This window comes from Homo sapiens, chromosome 3, assembly GCF_000001405.40.
Source record: "Homo sapiens chromosome 3, GRCh38.p14 Primary Assembly".
Lineage (NCBI taxonomy): Eukaryota > Metazoa > Chordata > Mammalia > Primates > Hominidae > Homo > Homo sapiens.
In genome coordinates this window covers 27,309,363-27,334,062 of record NC_000003.12, presented here as the reverse complement: position 1 = coordinate 27,334,062, position 24,700 = coordinate 27,309,363, and the positions used below count along the sequence as shown (strand labels likewise).

At 40.7% G+C, this 24,700-nt stretch overlaps 1 protein-coding gene across 30 annotated transcripts in view, besides 1 other annotated feature; it reads left to right on the top strand.

Moving 5' to 3' along the window:
- The window catches only part of NEK10 (NIMA related kinase 10), a 262,900-nt gene that overhangs the window by 35,321 nt on the left and 202,879 nt on the right, over positions 1–24,700 (top strand). For all 30 annotated transcript variants that reach the window (XR_001740034.2, NM_001394969.1, XM_047447506.1 and 27 more), the window contains 4 exons: positions 11,802–11,886; positions 19,725–19,766; positions 21,886–21,964; positions 23,047–23,114. Coding sequence is in view for 29 of the 30 variants with exons in the window: in NM_001394969.1 (NP_001381898.1) it covers positions 11,802–11,886; positions 19,725–19,766; positions 21,886–21,964; positions 23,047–23,114 (274 nt within the window). In the remaining variant the exon portion in view is untranslated. The remainder of the gene's footprint in view (positions 1–11,801; positions 11,887–19,724; positions 19,767–21,885; positions 21,965–23,046; positions 23,115–24,700) is intronic.
- Positions 22,016–23,215: an enhancer, noted in NCBI's record as "CDK7 strongly-dependent group 2 enhancer chr3:27352339-27353538 (GRCh37/hg19 assembly coordinates)". NCBI's record gives its function as "activates an origin of replication core promoter dependent on BRD2, BRD4, P300/CBP, MED14 and CDK7 cofactors, with strong dependence on CDK7, by STARR-seq in HCT116 cells {active_cell/tissue: HCT116}" and the evidence as "EXISTENCE:reporter gene assay evidence [ECO:0000049][PMID:35650434]".

The window sequence follows — 24,700 nt, the reverse complement described above, 5'->3', positions numbered from 1 at the left end:
TGGGCTAGGCTGGCTGGTCCTCAGGGCCCTGCAGTTCTGTGTACAGGTGTTGGCCATGGTAGGCAGGAATGGGGCAACCTCTAGGCCACTGGCAGAATGCCACTGGGTGGTGTTGGTGGAGAGGCAATGTTTTTAGTGATGGCAGCCTAGGCCAGCAGATGTTAAGCATGTGTGCCACTTGTGCCTCAGCCCCAGGTATGGTAGCCCATGGTTGCTTGTTCCTAAGCCCTGGGGTCAACAGCCAGCTCTTCTCTTGCACCTCTGTCCCAGCACTGCTGGCTTCCAGGATAGTGCATACTCTGTTGGGGGTAGGGCTCTAGAATGGTGCCTTGCTCAGCCCTGGTTGTAGCCTGCATCTTGATCATGCCTCCTACCTGGGTATGGTAGCCCACGGTTGCTTGTGCCTAAGCCCTGAGGGCAGCAGCTCATGCTTCTCCCGCACCTCAGCCCTGGTGCTACTGGGTTGCAGGATAGCATTCAGTCTATTGAAGACAAAGTTCTTTTTTTTTTTTTTTTGAGACGGAGTTTTGCTCTTGTTGCCCAGGCTGGCGTGCAATGATGCGATCTGGGCTCACTGCGACTTCTGCCTCCTGGGTTTGAGTGATTCTCCTGCCTCAGACTCACAAATAGCTAGGATTACAGGTGCCTGCCACCACACTGGGCTAATTTTTGTATTTTTAGTAGAGACAGGGCTTTACCATGTTGGCCAGGCTGGTCTTGATCTCCTGACCTCAAGTGATCTGCCTGCCTCAGCCTCCCAAAGTGCTAGGATTACAGGTGTGAGCCACCGCACCTGGCCATGGGTCAAGGAGCTCTCCCATGGCTAGGATTGCAGGAGTCCATGGTGATAATGTGGACTACTGAGGGTCTCTCACTCACCCTTTCCCTGTATTGTAGTCTTCCTTGGCTCACAGCTGATCTTGGCTAAGCAGGCTTCCTTACTTCCTTCTCCTTCTTTACTTTAGGTATTGCCTGCCACTTTTCTACTGAATTCCAGTATTCTCTCTTGGGTGACCTATTTGAAGCATAATTATCTACTCACTATATTGGTTCTTCTTAGTGGAGGAAGCAAGTACAAAATGCCCCTAGTCAGCTCTCTTGAATTGTTACTCCTGGTAACGAATCTCAAGGTGTGGCAAGATATGGAAACAAATTGTGGTCTTCCAATCTTTTTTTCTCTCGTGACGTCATTTGTGTGTAGTAGAGTTTGATTCCATTTCCATCTCATCTGCCTGAACGGGTAAGTACAAAGGGCGTTGGTATCCAAGACCAGGTTGTTATGAGCTGTGTAGGGAAGTTGTCAAAACATTATCATATTCTCTAATTAATTGACCTCTTATAAAATTGACCTCTATTCAGAGATCTCTTGTGTATATCTGCTTCTCTGGAATTCCTCTTTGTTAGTCCATTCCTTGCTGACGTGAAGATTCCGTATTACAAGGCAAATATTATGTATTTGTGAAACAAACTTGCAAATCTGGCTGAAGTTGTAGAATTTTATGAAGTTATTGAAAGTGATGGAGCTGAGCTGGTGGAATATGACAAACAAGACTCAGGCAGAAATAGGTCACCTGACAATGAAGGAAGAGAGTGTTAACAAGGAAAATGATGAAGGTATGTTTGGAAAAACAAAGAATAGGAGAGAACTTTGGGAAAAAATAATGAATCCTTCCAATATATTCACAAAAATAAACCTCTTTTTCTTGCAAAATCAAAAGTAAAGAAAGAATTGGATCATGTTATATGAATATTTTTTCAGAAAAAGTGTTCCAAAAATGTCAGCAGAGTTTATTCTTGCTTTGCTCTAGTTACCAGGGCAATGTTGCAGTATAACTTAAATTTTGTTAAACGTAAAATAAAATACATCTTGGTTTCATAATTTACTTTTTAAGATGTTGTTTCAATCTTTCCTCCTGCTCTTTAATATGAAATTTGGTATTATTTTGAAGTGGCTTTACTTAACTGGCCTCGTTCTGGTACTATCGTTCTAGAATAACCAGCATATGCCTCTTCCTTTGCCTGTAACTTTTGTGTAGGTAAACTTGTCCAAGGTACTCATTCTAGCTGGAATGAGTTGGAAGAAACCATTTAGTATGACCTTATTTGCAAAAAAATTAATTTACTTTTCTGAAAAGAATAAGTTAGTATCCTTATTATTTTATACCCCAGTTTCCTGAGATATCTGCTACAAATTTGAAGAATTTTGGAAATGAGTCTGTAGGAAGTCTAGGTGAGAAATGTTTCCACGATGTATAAGAGAAAACTTGTTGAATTAGGAGAAAACATCACAACGTTATTAGAAATTATCATAAAAAGTATTCTGAGAACATCATAGATACTTATAACCAAGAGGATTAATATAGTTATGTGTTTAGCTATCAGACAATTCGTTATCAATATCTGCTCCAGGACCTAGATCATGAAGCAAGTGACTCTTTTCCTTTCAAGCTTTACCTGGTCCTCAGCATTGACTATCCAGACTCCATCGCAGAGGGAGGTTAGATGAGAGGACCAGAAGTTAGGATGCAGGGACAATCTCTTCAGTGTTTTGAATAAGTTCTTGAAATAGATGAAGCTAATGAAGAGATGCTTTTTCTGTGAATTTATCTCTTCAGCCAGTACAGAGGCCAATAGAGACCTTTGAAGGTTCCTTATTGCCTAAGAAAGGAGAAGCCTGGTCACCTTGGTAAAGCCTGTCAGATAGTTCAGAACCTCCCTAGAGACAGATGTTCAAGTTAGCACCATAGACTGGGCACAGATAAAGTTTCATTAAGGCCTCAAAAGTCTTAGGTTTGTGTGTTTTTTTTTTTTGTTTTTTTTTTTTTGAGACAGAGTCTTACTTTATCACCCAGGCTGGAGTGCAGTGGCCTGATCTCAGCTCACTGCAACCTCCACTTCCCAAGTTTAAGCGATTCTCCCTGCCTCGGCCTCCCGAGTAGCTGGGATTACAGGTGCCTGCCACCACGATTGGCTAATTTTTGTATTTTTTAGTAGAGACAGGGTTTCGCCATGTTGGCCAGGCTGGTCTTGAACTCCTGACCTCAGGTGATCCGCCCACTTCGGCCTCCCAAAGTGCTGGGATTACAGGTGTGAGCCACTGCATCCAGCCAGGTTTGTGTCTTTAGGTACTAAAAAATGTTATAACGGCCTATTCCTTAGTTGGTTCACATAGTTCTTTGAGATCTTGTTCCTTCTTGGCCTCATCTCTTTATTCTGTCCAGTGTCTTTCCTGGACTCATTGAGGTCAGAGTGAAATTTCTGTTCCTATGAAAGTTATTCTTTTTGTCACCTCTGATCCTTTGACCGTGGTAGTCCTCTGCCTGAAGCACTCCGTCTCCACCTCTTTATAGTCTTTTATCCCCTGCTCGAGCCATTGACACTGGTTTTGTTAGGTGAACATTGAGGCTAAGATTGTTCATTTGGAATTTCTTTGCATTAAATTATTTTGATTGCTTTAAAAATTTTGGAAAACACAGAAAATTATAAAAACATGAAAACTTACTATTTATACCACCCTTAGAAACAGCTATATTAACTTTTGCTACATTTCCTTCTAATCTTTTAACAATTTTATGCTTTTTTCCTTCACTTATCTGATAGATTATTATGCACATACAAAACTACATTCTGCTTTTACCCAGAGTAGAACTTTTTAAACAGCTGGATCATTGTTTGAGAATGAAATTTGTCTTTTTTTCTCTCTTTTACTCAAAGCTTCACAACCTTAAACATAGACATGAAGCAAATAAGCTTTAACAACCTAAGATCTCATGTAGTCCTCAAGCAAATGATGATTTCCCTTCTTCCCATCACCTAACTTGGAGCAAATATCTAGCTCTTATATTATTATTTCTCATGCAATATTATCTAGGGTATTTTAGGTAAATGTGTACACACATGTACACACACACACAGGCACAGTCAGCCCTTGATATCCAAGGGTTCTGCATCATCAGATTCAACCAACTGCAGATTAAAAAATATTCAGGAAAAACAATAAAAAACACAACAATAAAAAGTACTTACATAGCATTTATGTCATATTAGGTATTATGAGTAATCTAAGATGATTTATAGTACATGTGAGAATATGTGTAGGTTCTGTGGATTTTGGTAACCGTGGGTGTCCTGGAACTCCTGAGGATACCAAGGGATGACTATATATACCAAAAAAGTCATGAAATTATAGAGGTAGAATGGACTCTGAAGAAAACCTTCTTAAGCCTCATTTGATAGATGTGGGAGATGAGCAGGTAAGGTCCAAGGTCCTGAGACAAAGCCATGGCTGGTACTCTTTTCTCTAATGCCTCACGGATTCCCTTGTTCTTTACTAATCAATGCACATTTAAAATTTGTTTTAGGTGTGCACCAGGGAAAAGTATCACTTTGGTAACCAGACTTACTGCTTCTTGTGTAGCTCATTCACTTGGCTGTCAATAGGCATGAAGTGAAAATGTTCCTACCTTCCCAGGAAAGAACTGGTTGTTCCTTGGCTACAGGTAACCACCAGAACCAGTTTTAAACCTGGCCAAATCAATAAATGACAGTTTCTCATGAGTACATAAGTTTCTGAGAGCCAGGAAGTAACTGACAGTCACATCCTGGGAGCCGCATTTCCACAGCTAAAAATCAACCAATCCCCAAACAGCCTTGTGAAACCTGGCCTTTCCTAAATTTTCCTATCCACTTAGCTCCAAGAAATGGGGCCTTCTAAGTACACTCTCTGTATTAGTCTGTTTTCACGTCGCTAATAAAGACATACTCAAGACTGGGTAATTTATACAGGAAAAAAGTTTAATGGACTTACATTTCCATGTGGCTGGGGAGGCCTCACAATCATGGCAGAAGGCAAGGAGGAGCAATTCATGTCTTACATGGATGGCAGCAGGCAAAAAGAGCTTGTGCAGGGAAACTCCCATTTTTAAAACCATGAGATCTCATGAGACTCATTCACTATCACAAGAACAGCACAGGAAAGACCTGCCCCCATGATTAAATACCTCCCACCAGGTCCCTCCCACAACATGTGGGAATTCAAGATGAGATTTGGGTGGGGACACAGCCAATCCATATCACTCTCCTTTGCTGTAAATTCATCTTTTGTTATACATATTGATTTGTGGGCTCTTCCTTCTTTAAGCATCTCAAAGTTAACATGTTTAAAACAGTACTTTTGAGTTTTCTCACTCAATGTGTGAGAATGCCTCAGTTTTAGTCTTCCCCATCAGCTAGTCCAAACCCCCATCATCTCTTGCTTGGACTATTGCAGTAGGCTAACAGGGCTCCCTGCTTTTGATGCTTGGCTCTTTATACTCTGTTCTCAACGTTGAATTTAGAAGGATTTTTTCAAGATCTCCTTCAGATTATGTCAATCCTCTCCCCAGAGCCTTCCAGTGACTTCCCTGGATAAAAAATCCAAAGGCCCTGTTCTTATTTTACAAGGCCGTTAAAGCTCTGGCTTCTCCTGTCTCTCTCACCCCAATCCCTATTGCTCTATCTTTGCTCACTCTGCTCCAGCCCCACTGGCTTCCTTGCTATTCTTTGCAGTTTACAGTATTCCTGCCTCAGGGACTATGTATTTAACTACTCTGCTGTTCTGACCTAGACATCCATATGGATCAATCCCTCAAATAACTCAGATGCTAATCTTATCAAAGAACTGTTCTGTGACTGTCCTAAAATAGCATGCCCAGTACTCATTAAATCCTTAACCTTGATTATTCTCCACTGGCCACCACCTGATATGCATTTTTATTTGTTTTTGTGATCAGAATGTAAGCTCCATGAGTACAAGTGCATGGGTTTTTCCTCTGCTGTACTCCTGGGCTTATAACAGTACTTGGCTGATCACAGGTGATGAGTATATACTAAATATTTGAAAATATTCTGAAATTTTCATTAATTATGTAGAAGAAATACCTCTAAGAATGCATTTATATCCTGATTTTAGGGGCCAACATGATCCATTTGATGGGTTTCTGATTGGGTGTACATTTCATGCTAGATTTAGTAGGGGACACAGAGAAAGAACAAAGACCTGTTAAGAATAGCAAAATAAGTCAGTGAGAATTCCCTAAATAATCATTTAGGATGAATTTCTTCACATATATTCTTGTTTTTTTTTTTTTAAGTTTTGCATAGATGTGAATTTTACTTTTTCAGCTATCCAAAAAAATTGGACTCTGTCTTATGAATTTGAGGTGATATGTGTTTTGAAATAGGCTTGAATTCCTCTGTTTTTAATGAGTCAAAGATGGCAGGTTGTTTTGGTTTGTCTTGTGGTTAATGAAAACTACTACAACATGAAAAGGGCTGTGACATGAAAAAGACAGAGTGTGCTACAAATACAGTCAACATTGTCACTTCTGCCATTTGCATCAGTTCCTGGGTTCAGTTAACCCTGCTTCATTATAATAGCACAGCTTCGTGGACTGACTTTTTACTTGGAACCCTCACATCACATATTTGTTTCTCTTACTGTGTAAGAAGTTGAAACCCTGGCTACTCTTTCCCTTTTCAAATAATGTGTCTCCGGTGCTTTTCCTTCATTTTATATTGATGGCAGAAGATGGCACCTGATGCTGACAGCAGAATGGCAGGTGGTCACGGACAGGGGTGGCAGGAGCTGATCACGCTGCCATGTATTAATAGTCCTGTGAAAACAGTGGCATAAGTTCAGTCATAAGAGGGGACAAATATTTGCCCGCTCATGAATTTGCTTCTGTGTGGCTGCTATATTGAGACATGGCCTCTAGAGAAATACTATCTTTGCAGACAGGTTTCTCAGGGCTGCCCCCATGCCACTCTGCTGAATGCTACTGTTCCCATATTAAACATATCTGCAGAGTCACTTTCTCTTCAGCCATCCCTGTATAGACTTAGGTGGAGGGGAGGGATGGCAAGAGCACTGGAATGGGAGTCTGGCACCTGGCTCTATTACTTATTGTGTAGCTGTGGGCCAGACACTCAGCTCCTCCAGGCCACAATTGCTGAGTCAGTAAAATAAAGGTGCCTGTCTTTACAATCTGTCACTATTATTCACTGTAATTCTCCAGTTGCACTAAGCTGTGTGTTTCCTAGTCCCTCAGCTGGTGGCAAACAGATGTATGTATATATGTGTATATGTGTGTATAGTCTTGAAGAGCATGCAATTCTCCTTGAACACCAGCACTTCATCCCATGTGCTCCGTCCTTGCAGTGGGTTAAGGGCTGAGAGCCAAGGAAGGAACAACTGCTCTTTCAGAGGTCAGCGCAAAGAGATGAGAAGCCAGAGGACTCAGACACCAGGAATTCTATTTACATTTACAGCAGCAGAGGCCGCGTAGAAATATTAATAGCTTTGGGCTTCAGTTCCCAAATTGCAAAACAAAACAAAACAAAAATTCCATTTGGTTGGAACAGAAATTTCAACTCTGAGATTTTTCTGGAACTCTTCATTTATATACACTTCTTTATTAGTTAAAAAAAACTATTCTGGAATTTTTGTTCTTTTCTTTTTCCTGGGAGGTGGGAAGGAAACAAACTTTTTATATTTATATTAATATGAAAAATCACTGGAAAAGTCATGAAATTTCCTCATGATGATTGTATATGGCTAACAGTAAAAAATACCAACTGTACACATATTTGTAGCGTGAATCATCTCTTAAAATGCCCCATGGCTTTTCCTTTAAATAATGAAAAGTAATTAGCATTCAACATCACTAGGTTGCTAGCAGCTGTTGCAACCTGATCATTACTTCTGTTAGATCTTTGGGATGTAGTATCTTTGCCCTATAATTCAGGCTACATGCTGCCTTTAGCTAACCCAGCACCTGAAAGAGAAACTTGTCATGTGCCCTCTTCCTAATTATAAAGATTAAAGATATCCTCTCTGTATTAGGAGCTTTAGAATAACCATATTTTTAGTAAGTGCCCCCATAGATGATCATTTTGAGTTCAAAATGTATTTCAAATTTGGTTTATTTTTCCCAATGCAGGGTATGTCTGATCTGAAGTCAGGATGAACCCATAGTACATCCTGGATGTGGCCTTGGATAATTCTGCCTGGCTGGCAGTTTTGGGATTGGTTGAATCCTGACTCTATTTTCAGAGGAAACTGGGCTTTGTCCCCTTGGCAAAAAGGGGTCACTGACAGGGTGCTTGGGCCAGAGGAGGGGCCAAGGTGTTGATGGCAACTGTGGTGGGCAGCATAGCTGCCAAGAGTCTTGGTGATGGGAGGAAGAGTAATCCTCAGCCAGTGATATTCTTTGGACATCTTACTCAACATCTCTCCACAGAGCCAGGCCTTGTTGGGGGACTGTAATCTATAATGAGCACTCAGGAGTATAAGACTTTGGGAAGAGCTTACCTATCAACCTCCTTCCCATGAAGTCAGTCTTTGTAGATGGAAGGAATGGTGAGTGGCTTGGGGTGGAGTGTGAGTGGGGTGGGGTGGGGAGTAGCACCTCTAGTGGCAGTCACTACAAATGTTCATCCTAACTTTGAGGAAGATGGTTCTCATTCACTCAGGTTTGAGACGTGCTGGTTTGGGGGCAGAGTTGAATTTCTCAGGATCATAGAGGAGACAGAGATGAACTGTACCCAGAGGCAGAGGATCAGTGTGGGACAGGCCAGGCAATGAGTGGCTTGGGTCCACAACTCAAGTAATTGCTGTGTTTGACAAGGGGGCAGATCTTTATTCTTGCTGGATACACAATCAGCTCAGCTGTGGAGGTGGGAGATGTGGGAGAAATTATATAGATTCTAGTCTAGAATAGCTTCCATTATCTCCCTCGCTTTTTCTTGGCTGAGTATGAAATAGAAGATGCTTTGTGTTTTAGGCTTTTGTTAACGTGTGCACCAAGCACCACTATGGAACTAGCTTGAAGGGCAGTGTGAGCAAGTGTCACCTGGCCAGGACCACCTTCTGTTTCCAAGTTCCAGTGCATGGCAGCACTCAGCCTCTCTTTCTCACCTCAGGAGTTCAGTCTGTGCTGTGTTGGCCACTTCTGCACAACATACACTGTGGTTAGAACAACTGCAGGTGACTGGCCTCATATCATGGAGAACATCTTTCAAATTCTTTATGAGGTTCCAGTGTTGAAAAGCCACAAAAGGCTTTCATGGGAAGCACCTTAGGCACTGGACCTTGGCCCAGCCATGTAATGAGAAGGTCAGCATGACTGGGAGGGAGTGAACAAGGGGCAGTGGAAAGACATGAGGCCAGAGGTGTAATGGGGAGGCCAGGCCCTGGAGGGCCTATGAGTCATGGTATGGACTTTGGTTTTTATTCTGAACGAGATGGGGTCTGTTGGAGGATTTGGGCTGAGGAGTGACGTGAATGGACTTGTGTTTGTAAAGAATCATCTTGGCAGATGTGAGAGAGTAAAGGAAGGGGCAAAGCTGGAAGCAAAGATGCCAGATAGGAGGCTTTTGCAATGGCTCAAGCAAAAGATGGTGGTGGCTTGATCCTGGGTGGTGGTGGAGGAAATAGTGAGAAGTGGATAGGTTGTGGAGGCAGATATTTTAAAGGTAGAGCAGACAGGATTTGCTGAGGAATTGGCAAAGAATGTGAGGGAAATAGAGGAGGCAAGAAAAACACCAAGGGTTTCTGTCTGGTTACCTAGATGACTGGAAGGATCAGGCTTGAGGGGGAGTTCATGAAGTCAATTTCAGACATGCTGACTATCAAACTGAGATTCAGGAAGCCATGGGTTCTAGTTTCAGTCTGGGCTCTGTTGCTCCAACTCTTTGGGTACAAGTATCCTCAACAACTGATGTGAAATGCACCTTGCATTGTGCACGTTCTATGGCCTATGAAGCAACATTAGGAGCTGACTGAAAAGCTTTAACATTTTGACTGCATTTACTACTAGCTATAACTGGATGTGGGACAGCTGAGCGACAAAATAGAAATTGTTCACAGTGGCCCAGCAGGGTCAGGAAGGGATGTGGGTGTCACCAAAGAGCATAGACTATCCCTACCCTGACTTCCTACTTCTAAGCTAACCTCACCTTCTGAGCTCATAGAGGCATGACAGTGGAGGGATTCTGCCTTGACTGATATGCTCCCTTAGGTTTAAATCTAAGTGAGAGGTGCCTAAAATGTGCCTACCTTTACCACACTGGTTTAAATCAGAGAATTGGTCATCCATATATATTTGAGTAGCTGCTAGCTGCTGGGTGCAAGGCCTTGTGACCACCTCTGAATTTGATTAGTGTCTGGCTTCTTTCAAAAACATTGCAAAATTGCAATTGTCCTTATTTTAAAGACCTTTGAAGGATGCAACTAAATCATTCTTTGCTAAAGAAACATACTTTTTGAAAGCCTCTCAAAAGGTAGTTGAGTGAATACTTGTAGCATTTGATGACATTGAAGTGATACTTTTAAGTTAAATAGTTCTTTAGAAATCTGATGATGGTATTTTGGATATTGGCTATATTCAATATTTGAAGTAAAAATCCAGGTTTTTTTTTCCCCCCTCTGAACAGACCTGTGGCAAATACACCTTCAGTTTCTGTCATAATATGACTTCTCCAGTGACTGTGACTTTGATTTCAAAGGGTTCTGCTGAATCTCACTATAGAACTGTAGGGTAGTATTGGTGCTTTGCCCAGAATCCTCCCGTTCTCACCCTTTTGGTTTTGGCACCTTCCTGTCCAACAACACTTGCACCAACCACCCTCAGGTTCCTTGAGTCTACCTTGCCTGCAGGCACAGAGAGCCAGTGGGAGTGTCTGGGAATGCTCCATCAGTCCCTCCTGCAGCTCTTAGCGAATGGCAACAGCTTCAGTAGTGTAGAAAAGCCCAGTGCCCTTGCCTCAGTATGGGACAACTCTGAGCAGTAACTTACATTCCAGAGCCCCACTGTTCGGATTGAGGGGAGATTTTGGCTGATGTGATACCCTTGCTTGGATTTCTCCTCTTCCCTTTCCTGTTTCTCCCACTCTCTTACTGGCCTCTCCTGAGAGCATGTTTTCAGTCATTAATTTGCACACACTAATCTTCATCTCAGGGTCTGCTTCTGGGGAAACTAATCTAAAAAAATACTTTATCCCTGTGTTTCCCAAACTGAGCACCAAACTGCCTCAGGGCTGCAGAGAACTCCCAGGGGACACTGTGAGGTATTTTCAATTTTCTAAAAAACAAAACCAAAAACACCCTCAGTGCTACTCAACATCCATCAGATACAGCATGAACAACTGAAGGCAGTTTGTGATTTCAATGTTAGGTCATCCTGCCTTCCTTTAGCTGATGGTATATCTTTCAGAAGCTGAGTTTTCAGTGGTTGCTATGATAAAAAAACAAGTACTCTATGAAAGGGGGAAGAGAAAACAAAGATGGTGAAGTCCAAACTGATTCCCAGGCTTGAGAAGTTGTTTTGTTTCCACTAATGCACACACCCCCATTAATAAGTAAGTGTGGTTATGAAAATAATCTTTTGATGTAATGTATTATTTTTTCAAGTGGATACCAATTGGTTATGGCGTAAATTCTTACCAAGTTAGACCTACCTAAATTTTGGAACATTTAGCTCTTTCGTTTGATCTTAGGGTACTATGAAATATTACTGAGTCAGTAAGGGTGGTGGCATGAACCAAATAAGTTTGGGGGGGGCCTCTCCTCCACACTGAAAAAGATAGTTTAAATGTGTTTTGAATTAAAATGAGTCAAGTGTTCAAGTACCAAATAACAGTCCCCAGTGCAAATTAACTAAGTGCTTAGTGCGTTCTTTATACTCCTTCATAGCCTTGCATTTTTATGAATTGCCACACTGGGATTTTAAACGTGAACATGTTCTCTTGTTTTCTTCTTTCAGAGAGTGGGTTAATCGAGCCCCATCTATTCATTTTCTGAGAGTGTTAATCTGTCTGAGGCTACTAATGAGGGATCCATGTTATCAGGTTGGTTGGAAAAATACAATTTTTTTTTTTACTTGTTATAAAGTTGTAATAAAAGACTGGTGGGCTTTTCTTTGAAGTAGTCCATGTTTACTTTTTGTTTTCTCTCTCACAACTCAATAGCTTCCATATATGGGGAATGTCTCATCTACTATTTAAAAAGATTTGAGAGGAGCGCTTTAATGGGGACCAAAAATTTGTGTATTTCTGTTGTATTACTTATGGGATTAAGTGGATTGAACTTTTTGGTCTATGTTTTCTTTGCTATTTGGCATTTTAAACCATTTACCATTCAAGGAGGTATACACTTGGCCACATCTTCAAACATGTTCAAGGCCAAGCAGCTCCCTAGGTCAAAGTCAGCAGTGATGAGTGATGGCCTGCTCATGTGGCTGAGAGGCAGCCAATGGAGCTTTACTAGCTGCTCCAGGGTCAATCCCTTCCCAACCTCTAGAGTCAAATTTGAGCTAGAGGTGAGCAAGGAGCCTCCTGCTTGTCCCAAAGGAGGGCACTGAGGTCAAGAATCTTTTCCTGGTTGGGCATGGTGGCTCACGCCTATAATCCTAGCACTCTCCACCTCCCAGGTTTAAGCAATTCTCCCTCCTTAGCCTCCTGAGTAGCTGGGACTACAGGCACGTGCCACCATGTCCGGCTAATATTTTTGCATTTATAGTAGAGATGGGGTTTCACCATGTTGGCCAGGCTGGTCTCAAACCCCTGACCTCAGGTGATCTGCCTGCCTCTACCTCCCAAAGTGCTGGGATTACAGGCATGAACCACCATGCCTGGCCTCTGTTTTTAGTGCCTCTCAAACTTTAATGTGCATGGGAATCACCTGGACATCTTGTACATGCAGAATCTGACTCAGTATGTATAAACAAGATTCTTCATTTCTAACAAGTTTCCCAGGGATGCTATTGCTACTAGTTCATGGCCCATACTTTGAGTAGCAAAGACATAGTGCTTTAGCTGTGAGGCTCTAAAGAAAAGCTTACTTAACACTTTTTTTTTTTTAACTGAAAAAGTGTCTCCTTTTATGCCCTGCCCTCGTAAGCTACTAGGAAGCTCACACCTTTAATTTTGAACTCGATTTTATTGATGAATTGTTATTTGAGTCAGAATATGTTTCCTTTAAGTGCCAAGTTTGGAAAAGTAACCATCCTCTGTTTTACAGGGAAGCCCAAGGCCATCCCAGTGGGAGCTATCTTATTTTTTCTTTGTTGTTTGAAATATTTGGGTTATCCTGCAACTCTACTTCCCTCGTATTTCAGAAGTAACCATCTTTTCCATATTTGGCATTTGAGAAAGTATTTTGGTACCAACCAGCCACAGAGCCTACTCTGATTGGACTCTTCTGGGATTCATGGGCACTACACATCTTTCCATTAGAAGAATCGTCCTCTTCCTCATACTGTATTCTAAACTGGCCTCGTGCTATTGTAATTTAGCTAACCACAGCCCTTTGGATATGTGAGCCAGGGCATCCTTGAAATGGCTTTCTGTCCTTGTTGCTCACAGTTTTCTGGGTAGGTAAGCATCCTTATTTTCCTGTGACCAACCATACAGAACTGTGTGTTCCATGCATTTCTGAGCTGCTTATCGCAATTCAGTTTGGGTCATGTATAAATGAGCATGGGCCATAAGTTTCCTTTTGCCTGGATCAGTCTTATTATGTGCTTACTGTTCCCACTTAATTATTCATAGTGCCGTCTTTTATTCTCCAATGTGTCTCAGTTTAGATGAAAACATTATATGTGTAATATTAATAACGTTTTCCAGGAGGAAGGTCCAGTTAATCTGACTTGAACTAGCAAATATTTGTCCTAGAGATGTTCTGTTTGTTCAGAAAATCTGTTGATAAGAGTGTCTTACTCTGCTGATCTCCCATCTGAAGTTCTGTCTTTTTTAATCTCATTCTGGGTGGATTGAACAGGGTTGATTGTATTGCCCTCTGAAGGAAAAAACTCAGAGACGACTTTATGAGATTTTGTGACCAAGACACATATTAAACGAATATTGTCCTGCTGGCCAGCCTTTCCATAGAAGGGAATTATCTCCGAGTCTGTCCTCCCTGGCACTCTTTCCACACAGAAGACCACGTGCTCAGGCAGTTGTTTAACATCTTGAGGTGCCAAGAATTGTTGGCTGAAGTCACAAAGCTATGCTGGGGTTTACTACAACTTGCGACTTACGCCAGTGGCTCTCAGCATGCCTTTTTCATGGGTATCTGTTCCTTTCCTCTCTTGTTCAGTCAGTACTGCAGGGTCCATAGCGGCTCTTCCAAGCCATCTTCACTTTTCTCAGCCAAACCCTCTCCTGCCCCCATTATTCTCATCAAATTATATCATCCTCTGTTTTACAGGAAAGCCCAAGGCCATCCCAGTGGGAGCTATCTTATTTTCTCTTTTTGTTTGAAATATTTGGGTTATCCCGCAACTCTACTTCCCTCATATTTCAGAAGTAATATTCCTCTTCCTGGCCAAGGCTTTCCCTTCTACCCGCTCTCTATTTTTCCTTATCATAAAAATGTCCTTCTCTTGACCCAGCTATTCCTTCAAGTCCTCCTCCTACTTTCATACTATATTTCTTGAAAGGTCAGGCTGTCTCCTGAATCCAGTTCCTTTCCACCAGGACTGATGTATTGCATAACTTGCACATTGAATTCTATGTACAAGGTTCTCTCTGGAAGCCATTTAAATAGACCACACTGGGCCATGCTGCAGTCCTCATTCTTCGACTCAGAGGTTGCAAACTGGTGGCTTGTAGACTGGATCTTTCCTGCTAGTACAGTTTCCATTATATGTTTAGTGAATGTTCCAGCCAGGAAAGACTGGAAGGAATGACAGAGAAGCCATTTTGAAGATATAATTGTTTAGAGTTTTTCAGAATTAAACGAAGACACGTATTGAGATTTCAGTTACAGCTCGAGTCCCAAGCAGGATAAAGATAAATGTTCACCTGGATTCATTATAGTGAAGCCATAGCACATTGCTTATCAAAGATAAAGAGAAAACCTTAAAAGATCCTGAATTGTAATTATGTTAGAAACAATAATAAAAAATAGTGCGATTGAGTAGACTTCTCTCAGCCCTTACATTCCCCAACCTGTTTTTAGCAGGAGACACACTGTACCACGTTTTCTCTTTGCCTGTACTGATCCTGAGAACCTCTAGCATTTATTCAGCATTTTTTGGGTATTATTTACACGTTCCTATTCTTAACCTTGTCTTCCTAAATAACCTTCCCCAAAGTTTTTTTTTTCTTTATTGTCTTCTCCCATATCTTCCAAGCTCTTGGCTTCAACTATCTTTTTGTTGTTGCTGTTTGTTCACAAGTTCATATCTACAGCCTCAAACTTTCCCCTTTAAGTCCCAAGTTTCCAGAGACATGTTAGACAACCACCTTGATGACACAGTAGCATAATGGTTTTCAAAGTGTGGGCCCGTGTACAGTTTACAGGTCTCTGAAACCCTTTCAGGGATTCCACAAGATCAAAGCTATCTTCAACACGATGCTAAATTATTCTCAGTGATGTTATTTGTCTTGTCACTCTCTTACATGTGTGCTGTGGGATTTTCCCTAAGCTACACAACATCTCATGACATCATGGCCCTGGCAGCTGATGGAACATGTGTACTTGTGTATTCTTATGTTTTAAAAATTTCTCACTTTTAATTTCTAATACAATAAATATAAACAGATACATTCTAACCCATGTAAACAAAGCTCTTTGAGGTTCTCAGTAATTTTTAAGAGTGTAAAGGGGTTTGAGACCAAAACTTTGAGAACAGCAATTGTAGCATATTATACTCAATAACTTTATAATGGAGCTCTTCAATTCTTCCCCTCATCCTTGAACTTTTGGAATCAATTCCTGATTCTTTTAATGGCACCATATTTTGTCAGACTTACGGTAGAAAACTTTAGAAGTATCTCTTGTATTTCCTTTTTTCTCATCCTCCTACAAATCGAGTATACCAAACCTTTTAGAAGAGTGGTTACTGTTCCAAACCTAGAAAGATAGGTAAAGGCCAGTCCACAGAGGGGCATTAAAATCATAACCAAAGAATAAACTTTGGCTGGGCGCGGTGGCTCACGCCTGTACTCCCAGCACTTTAGGAGGCCGAGGTGGGTGGATCACGAAGTCAGGAGATCGAGACCTTCCTGGCTAACACGGTGAAACCCCGTCTCTACTAAAAAATAGAAAAAATTAGCCGGGCGTGGTGGCGGGCGCCTGTAGTCCCAGCCACTGGGGAGGCTGAGGCAGAAGAATGGCGTGAACCCGGGAGGCGGAGCTTGCAGTGAGCCAAGATCGCGCCACTGCACTCCAGCCTGGGCAACAGAGGGAGACTCTGTCTCAAAATAAATAAATAAATAATAAATAAATAAATAAATAAACTTTATGGAGCCACTGATGATTTTTGAACAGAGGAGTAAATGGTCATGTCAGTGATTCAGTGTTAAAAGTTATGCAGTGTGTTCAGCATTCATTGATTTAGTTGCCACGTAGGCTTAGGATGAGAGCCCTAAATGGAAATGACAGTTTTGGCTGTAATAAAAATATATTGGCAAAATGTGCTCCATTCTTAAAAACATACTTTTTACCAGTATTATATTATTGAGTCTATTTTTTTTAAAAAAGGAACAATTCAGGGGGTAAGCTTAGGAAGGACATTGTTCACAGTTTACAGATTGAACTAAAGTTCAGATTACCCAGGGAACTTTCTCCAAGTCATTAGACTCAGAAATATAGAAACCAGTTTTATGGCCCTCTGGCCTGTGACAAGTGAAAGATGCTGAGGGCTAAAAGGGCACACAGGGCGCATTGCTGTAATCTAAGCTTGCAGTCATATTTGCTTTTCAGGTCAGTAACTAGAAGTGTTAAGCCCATGTGTATACATACCTTGTAGTCATGGTTTTCTTTAGTTTACACTCTCAGGTTAGTACAGTCCTGTTGGTATAAGGAAAGGAAATGCAAGGAAGACCAGGGTCTGTGAGCAATCTCCTGGCCTTGCTCCACTTTCCATGGGAGCATGGAGGGAAAATATTCATTTCATAAATGAAGGTTAAATTCTTGAGTACATAACATAATGACAAAATTCTCTAAGAGGGAGTAAGCGTCTTTCTCATTCTTCTACTCTATAGCAGCACTTCTCAAACTTTATTCCACAGGAGTAATACGTGTCCTGGGAAACGAAGTGTGCTTTGGTTAGGGATGTTTAGAAAAAGCTGCACACTAGTTCTTCTTTTAGAGACTTATAGTGCTCAGCAGCGCCAAAGAGTCCTGAGATAGAGAATTTGTTAAATCTGTTTTACCTTACATTTCCCAAGCTGATTGGACAATAAAACTCTCTCTTTCTCTCTGTCTCTCTCTCTTTTCTTTTTTTTTCTTTTTTCTTTTTTTGGTAGAATGCCTAATTCCATCCACTGCACAAAATAAAATGACTGTTTCCAGGACATGGTTTAGGAAACATTGAGTTAGTCCCATATCATCAAAATTATTGAATAAATTTATTGTCATGGCAAACATTTAAAAATAACATTACCATGACCATTTAAACATTATTCTCTTCCTTGGTGTCTTCCCACTCCCAAGCTTCAGATGAATCTCCTTCATGTGAATAACTCCCAGATTTTAGTCTTTTGCCCTCACCTCATTTTCTGTGGCCTGTTGTATTTTTTTCACCTGGGCCTGCGGCACTGCAGTATGTCCAAAATAGAGTCCTCTGCTCTATCTCAGCCTATTCCTTTCTCTCCCCCTGTGTTAGTTAATTATGACATTGTGCCCAGCCACTCCCACTTAAATAGACTGATGTCTTTGACTTTGCTTCTTTTCTTCCAATCTTTCTTCATGTTCCGTTGATCATATCGCTTCAAATACTACCCCTTTCTCTCCATTCTTACTCCTGCTGTCACTGACCCCCACCTGAGCTCCCAGTTGATACGCTCCCCATCTCCAGTTCATTTTATGACTAGAAGGAAGTCCCCACAGCTAATTCTGGCCAGTCCCTTGCTCACACGTTTTCATTGGGTATCACGGTCTGCATGAAAACGTTCAAATTCAGGCTCACATCTAAGTCCTCCCACAGTGTGAATCCACCCTAATTTTCTAACATTTTTTCCCAGTAATGCCCTCCATGGAGTTACGGAACTGCTTCTCTCGGAATTACAGCATGTCTTGATGTTTTGTCTGCACAATTTCTATTCACCTTTGAGCCTCCTATTCTCTTTGCTGGAATCTCCTTTATTTTCACCTCTTCCCGATCTTTACTTGGCAAATCCATCCATCCTTCCAGTCCCCATTTAGAGACCACCACCCACATGAGGTGTCTCTTAGTCCTCTCAGCAGGAATGAGGTGTCTCTATTCTGGCGCCTCGTAACACTGCATGTATAATTTACTTTTAACACTTATCTCGTTCTGTCTTAAGTTCTAGTTGTTTGTATACCCACCTTATGCTTGCTTACAGCTCAGCAAAGAGCACTCCTGCCATCTACATATGTGTGTCTCCAGAGCCTAACTCAAGGATTTTACATAGGTGGAATGGAAAAAATGTTTGTTGAATAAATATAACTGGTTTTAAATGTTATTTTAATTTTTATGTGTACAAAACCTCCTACCATAAATAGAGATCATATGTACAATATTCTCGTGCTCTTTAATTATAGCTCTTCTAGAGTGAATAGCATTGATGAGGCTTCAAATTAGTAGGTAGTCATAGAACTATTTTTAATTGAGTTCTAAATGTTCTTTTAAAATTTAATTTAGATGTAAGTGTGTTCAGTATTTCCAAGTTCACTTTATACAGAGTATGGAAACCTTGACCCAGGAGGCCTTGAGAGAAAAAGGCCCCTGTGCCTTTTCCCAGTCTGCCCACTCACTGGCTTCATGGGAGAACTAGACTGTTCTCTCCCACGCTCATGTACTCGTCCCTGTGCACTTCCCAGAATTGAAATTATGGCTCTTGTTTATGTTTCAAATAACTTCCTTGTGGGCATGTTAAGTAAGGAGAGAGATGTCAATACAGATGTAATTAAGCAGGTTAAAGCCACCTGAGAATATTTGTCTATAGATAAATGACAATGTGGCTAACCTAAGAGCACTTACTATTAGTAGATCTCTAGGCTGGTCCATTTCACAATTTAAAGTCCTGTATCAGGAGACATTGTCAAAAATTATCTTTACATTTATTTAGAGCATGGGTCTAATAAGATCATTCATCTAATAATTTTGAGAAACTCTTTCTGTCCTAGAGCAATGCTTCCCAAACTGTACTGTACGTACGTATGACCTGGAGATCTTGTTGAAACGGAGTGTGATTGAGTAGGTCTGGGGTGGGTGCAGGATTCTGCATTTCTGTTCAGCTCCCAGGTAATGAGGGTGCTGCTGGTTCATGGACACTAGGCAGAGACCTAGCGGAGGGTTCTTGGAGTTTGGTGATGAACTCATCCAGGTTCGTCAGTTATGCAAAATGGTTTTCTTTCTGTGTCTTGGTTTTCCTCATCTGTAACATGAGAATATTGAATGAAATGGTGTCTAATGGCTCTTCTCAACTCGAACATTTTATGATGACACAGGAGGAGTTAAGAAGAATGAAGGGGCAGGCTGCGGTTCTGAGCACAGATTTATTCTCTTGATCTCAACCCAACTTTCATATTTATTAATAGTTTATTTTAAAGGTAGTATGAATGACATACTGTAAGTTTTCCGTATTTATATTAGAATGTAGACCTTCACAATATAATTATAAATATGACAACTTAGTAAAGAAATTGCATGTAAAATATACTTCCCCCTCCACCCTCATCATTTACATGTGTTTTGTTGCTTTTATTTTATTAGGAAATACTCCATAGCTTGGGTGGGATTGAAAACCTAGCTCAGGTAAGATTCCTTTTGTGGTGGCTGGTCTTGCCTTTTCATTTTGTGCCTGCTATGAGCAAGAATTAAAAGGGTATGTGACAGAAGGTGGCTTTCCTATGTTATGCTGTCTGCCCCAGAGAGGGACAGACAGCGTTAAGTGTGAGTGTGAGGCATGATACTCACAGAGCAGGGAGGAACCCACCACATTTTGTTCTGGCTAATTGGGCTCACTTTACTCAGCCTGATGAAATGAGAAAGTGCTATAAAAGGTCACATGTCTTTAGCTAGTAATAATAAGAAATAGGCAGCCAGGTGCGGTGGCTCACACCTGTAATCCTCGCACTTTGGGAAGCTGAGGTGGGTGGATCACCTGAGGTCAGGAGTTTGAGACCAGCCTGGCCAACATGGTGAAACCCCGTCTCTACTAAAAATACAAAAATTAGCCAGGCATGGTGCCAGGTGCCTATAATCCCAGCTACTCGGGAGGCTGAGGCAGAGAATTGCTTAAACCTGGGGGGCGGAGGTTGCAGTGAGCTGAAGTTGCACCACTGCACTCCAGCCTGGGCAACAGAGCGAAACTCCGCCTCACAACAACAAAAGGGGCGATGGCTGGAAGGCTGAAGCCCTTAGCATTGTATATACCATATGGTGGGAGGAAAAGAAATATGTATATATATATGCATATATATTTGAAACGGTGTCTTACTATGTTGCCTAGGCTGGTCTCAAAATGCTGGGCCCAAGCAATCCTCCTGCTTCAGCCTCCTGAGTAGCTGGGATTACAGGTGTGTGCCACTGGGCCTGGCAAGATAATAAACTGATTATGAAGATGTTCAAAACATTTTCAAACAAGAAAATGATTACTGTGCTCACTAAAATACTAATAAATAGATGACAAAGAAAGGAATGATCTTGACCTTATTTATTTTTCTGCTTTGCTAACTACTGAGCGAGGGTAAGCAAGTGAATATATATACTGAGCAACTCAGAGGCTTGCATTTATTAATACAATAAAACAAAATTTCTTTTTCTTTCTTTTTCTTTTTTTTTTTTGAGATAGGGTCTCACTTTGTCACCTAGGCTAAAGTGCAGTTGTGTGATGTCAGCTCACTGCAACCTCTGCCTCCCAAGTTCAAGTGATTCTTGTGCCTCAGTCTCCCAAGTAGCTGGGATTACAGGCATGCGCCACCATGCCCGGATCATTTTTTTTTTTTTTTGTATTTTTAGTAGAGACAGGGTTACACCATGTTGGCCAGGCTGGAATAAAACAAAATTTCTGATCACGTTTTTGAGTTGGAACAGGCTAGTCTCCTAAAACCTGTATAATGTTTACAGAAAGAATGATTTTCATAATAAACATGTGGCCCTGCAAACTCATTCTGAATAATTAATGGAAGATTAAGTTGGTGGCAATTTAACATTAAATCTACTTTATTTTATTATATTCTTAGAAAATTGATTCATGTTTATTTTTTGTTTTCAAGAACCTTTTAAATTGACTAGAGGTGTACCTCATTTAATAACTTAATATTTCATAAGATTATGTTACAAAGCATCTTCTTATCCATTTTAACTTCCATTATAATATTAGAAATTACCTGTTTCCCTGAGCCTGTTTCTTATTATAATCATTATCCACAGTGAGAATTATCAGACTACTCAGTACGCATTTTATTCTGATTATTGCTAACTGCATGTATGCTGGTTAGACATATATTCAGAGCTTATATACGTCAGTAAAATATATACAATGTATTATAAAAAATTCTCCTAAAAAGATACATTGAAGAATAAACATTCTATATACTATGTATTATGTATCTTATATGTATCTTGTATTTGGATACTAAATTACACAACAAACTTACTTAGTTAAGAGTCATTTTGAGACTTTTGAGAGTTTATAGAGTCTTGAGATGGTCTTTCCCTCAACTTCATAGCACGCAAGAGAAGCCAAAGAATCTAGAAACCCAGTCACCTTTTGCACTTGAGCGATAACTGTTCCAGGAGCATGAGAGTATTATTTGATGAATCTGTTTTGCCACCTACAGTTTATTTTAAGAACTGCAGCATCTTGTTCCTTGCTTCCTTGGGTGCTTTTGGTGTCCTGACTGGCTTGTTGGTTTGGTCCTTCATGCAGTATATGGAGATTGTAGCCAATGAGTACCTCGGCTATGGAGAAGAGCAGCACACTGTGGACAAGCTGGTCAACATGACATGTAAGTGTTATTGCAGGGACACAGCCATTTTTGTGGACTTGCTAGAAAAAGCAGTATGGTGTTTGCAGCAGGAAACAAGGATACTTTAAATATTTATTAATGTTCGCACACACAGCTCAGGTGTTGAGCATCCAGGCCAATTGTTATATTCAGTGGCAACATACAGCCAGAAGAAAGATGTTTAGATTACAACCTTTACCTTGAAAAGCACAATTTATTTAATGCAAGAGAGGCTTCCATAAAAGCAAATTTTGGTAAAATCTATTTTTGCGTCTTTTTATTTCTGTTAAAATGTCAGAGACTATCCAGTTTTTTTTCTATAAAGTTGGGTTAATCATGATTGCCTACCTCATAGAATCTGAAACATCCAGAGCATGAAAAAGAAAAATAACAACAAACCTTATCTGATGCTGCGAATGTGAAAACATTGGACTGTGAGTGTGAGGTATTCCTTAGTCACTCAATCTTCTCCCGTTGGAGGCTCTTCCCAGCCCTGCTGTCCTGCACTCCAGCTTTGATGAGTCACAGACGTCCTGCCGTGTGGGATGCCTGTCCGTTTTCTTTGTGTGACTGGACTGGCTCTTCATATCTGCTTGTGGAGCAGCACAGTGATTCTCAGATCCAGGGAGAGAAGAGTTTATGGCAAGCCCTGGGCACTAGGAAGTCTCTTTGAGGATGACTATTTTCCTCAGCTGAGGAAACGTGCAGGTTCCTCTCATTTGCTGGCCTTCCCTCTCTTCTTTATAAGTTGAAATCTTCACAGAGAGGATCTTTGAAGAATAGGCCTCACTTTGAACTGGTAATGATGTTAAGGAACTTCAAGTGGAAAGAGAGGTTTGCCTTTTTTGGTATTTTTATATTTCATTATTACAATAATATTAGAAAATAAATACCAGTGGAGCTTGAGGAGTAATTCTTGGGGTAAAAAAGTAGCCATGCTGCTCCTGCATCTGTTGTTCCTTTTGTGCTGTGTTCCCTTTGACCTTTCTCTGCCTGCCCATATGCACTGCAGATCTGTGCTCCTGGAAGTACTCCCCCTTTAATCTCTGGATGCCTCTTTGCGCTCTTTCTTTCCTTTATAGATATTTTTCAAAAACTTGCTGCAGTCAAAGATCAAAGAGAATGGGTCACCACAAGTGGAGCCCACAAGGTGAGTGGCCCCTGAAAGAGTTAATGCTTCAGCTCCCTATGGCAATAGTTCACATTAGGGAAGTTCAGAGCCTTTGCGGTTAAGTCATGTGTAATTAGAATCCACAAACCTACCAGCCTGGCCTGAGATTGTGGATCTTTGTCAACCCTTTTATATTCTTTACCAGCATTACAAGTTAATAGAGATATAATAAATACAAGTTTTCTGGAACTCTTTTCTTTTTTTTCCTATGCCATTTAATACCAACTAGGTTTATTACTTAAATATTATTTGAAAAGCCCCAGCTATGTATAAATACACCCTAGGTGTGCATTTATAAATAAGTCAACAGAAATAAACAAAATGTACATATGTATACATATAAATTCCATATGGCATGTGGGGCTATATTAGTTTGAACCATATATGATTGCCATTGTAGGTCAAAACAGACTATATTTATAGCAAAACTGTTTAGACTGTAGCCATGTGGAGCCAAGTTTCAGAAACCTGTTGAGTTTCATATCCCGGGAAGCCACTTTCTAGTGTATATGGGAGCAAGATTGCCTAAAATGTGTTAACACATGCTGCTCATGGTCTAGAGGATGATTCTAGGTGATACACAGGTCAACATTTTTTGTTTCAGTAGCCAGCTATTTCACAGGTATTATTGCTTACAATTGGAAAAAATTTTTTTGAGTTAACATTAAAGATGTTAGTTGAATATGGCAAAAAATGTGAAAATGATATGTAATGGATTGAAGTTTGGGAAACATTAGAAGACAGAGAAGAAAGAGAGAAGAAAAAGAGGAAAGGATCAGACAAATAAAGATAATGATAACTTCATTAAGATAAAATGAAATCATAAAGGCAAAAAATCCATATACTGGAAACATAAAAATTACCTTAGCCGTTGTTGCGCAGGTTGCAGCTCTGACCTGAGACATTTTGGGAGGCACTTTTCAGGGGCACTCCGCATTCTGAAAATGTAGAGAATTTTCCAAATAAGAAAATTTGCCTTAACGAGAATTCAGGGAAAGCCACTGACAAGCTACAGACTTCCAGCTAAGTCATGTTAGTTAGGATGATGCTTGGGAGCATCAGTGATGCACTTTCAACATCAATTAGAAATCTGGGAGGCAAATGGAATGCTCGATAGTATTCATATCTTGTTTAGTTTGGCAAAAGAATGAAAGTTTCAATATTTTGTTGAAAAATCGTTTCATAATTTGGAAAGTGCCTAGCACAATGCCTGGCTCAAAGTGAGTTCTCAATGGCTGATCACTACCACTATTGTAATTTATGTCATTAATCTTCCTGGTTCTTCCCAGCGTGGGATCAGAAGGGGGAGAGAATACTTGGGCACATGGAAATAGAAGGATGTATGAGAACCAGGCTGGTCATGTAGCTTGATGCCTTTTCTTCCTGTCCTGGGCAAGGAATGGCTACAAGAGGTTACTATCAAGAGTTCCAAAGTAAGGAGAGATGGACTCCTGCCATCTGTAAAGAACTGGATATTTTGAATGTTTAATAAAACTCTTTTTAAGATAAACTTTTATATTGACTGCAAAAAATAAAAAGGAAGCTGCATAAGGCTTGATAGGGCA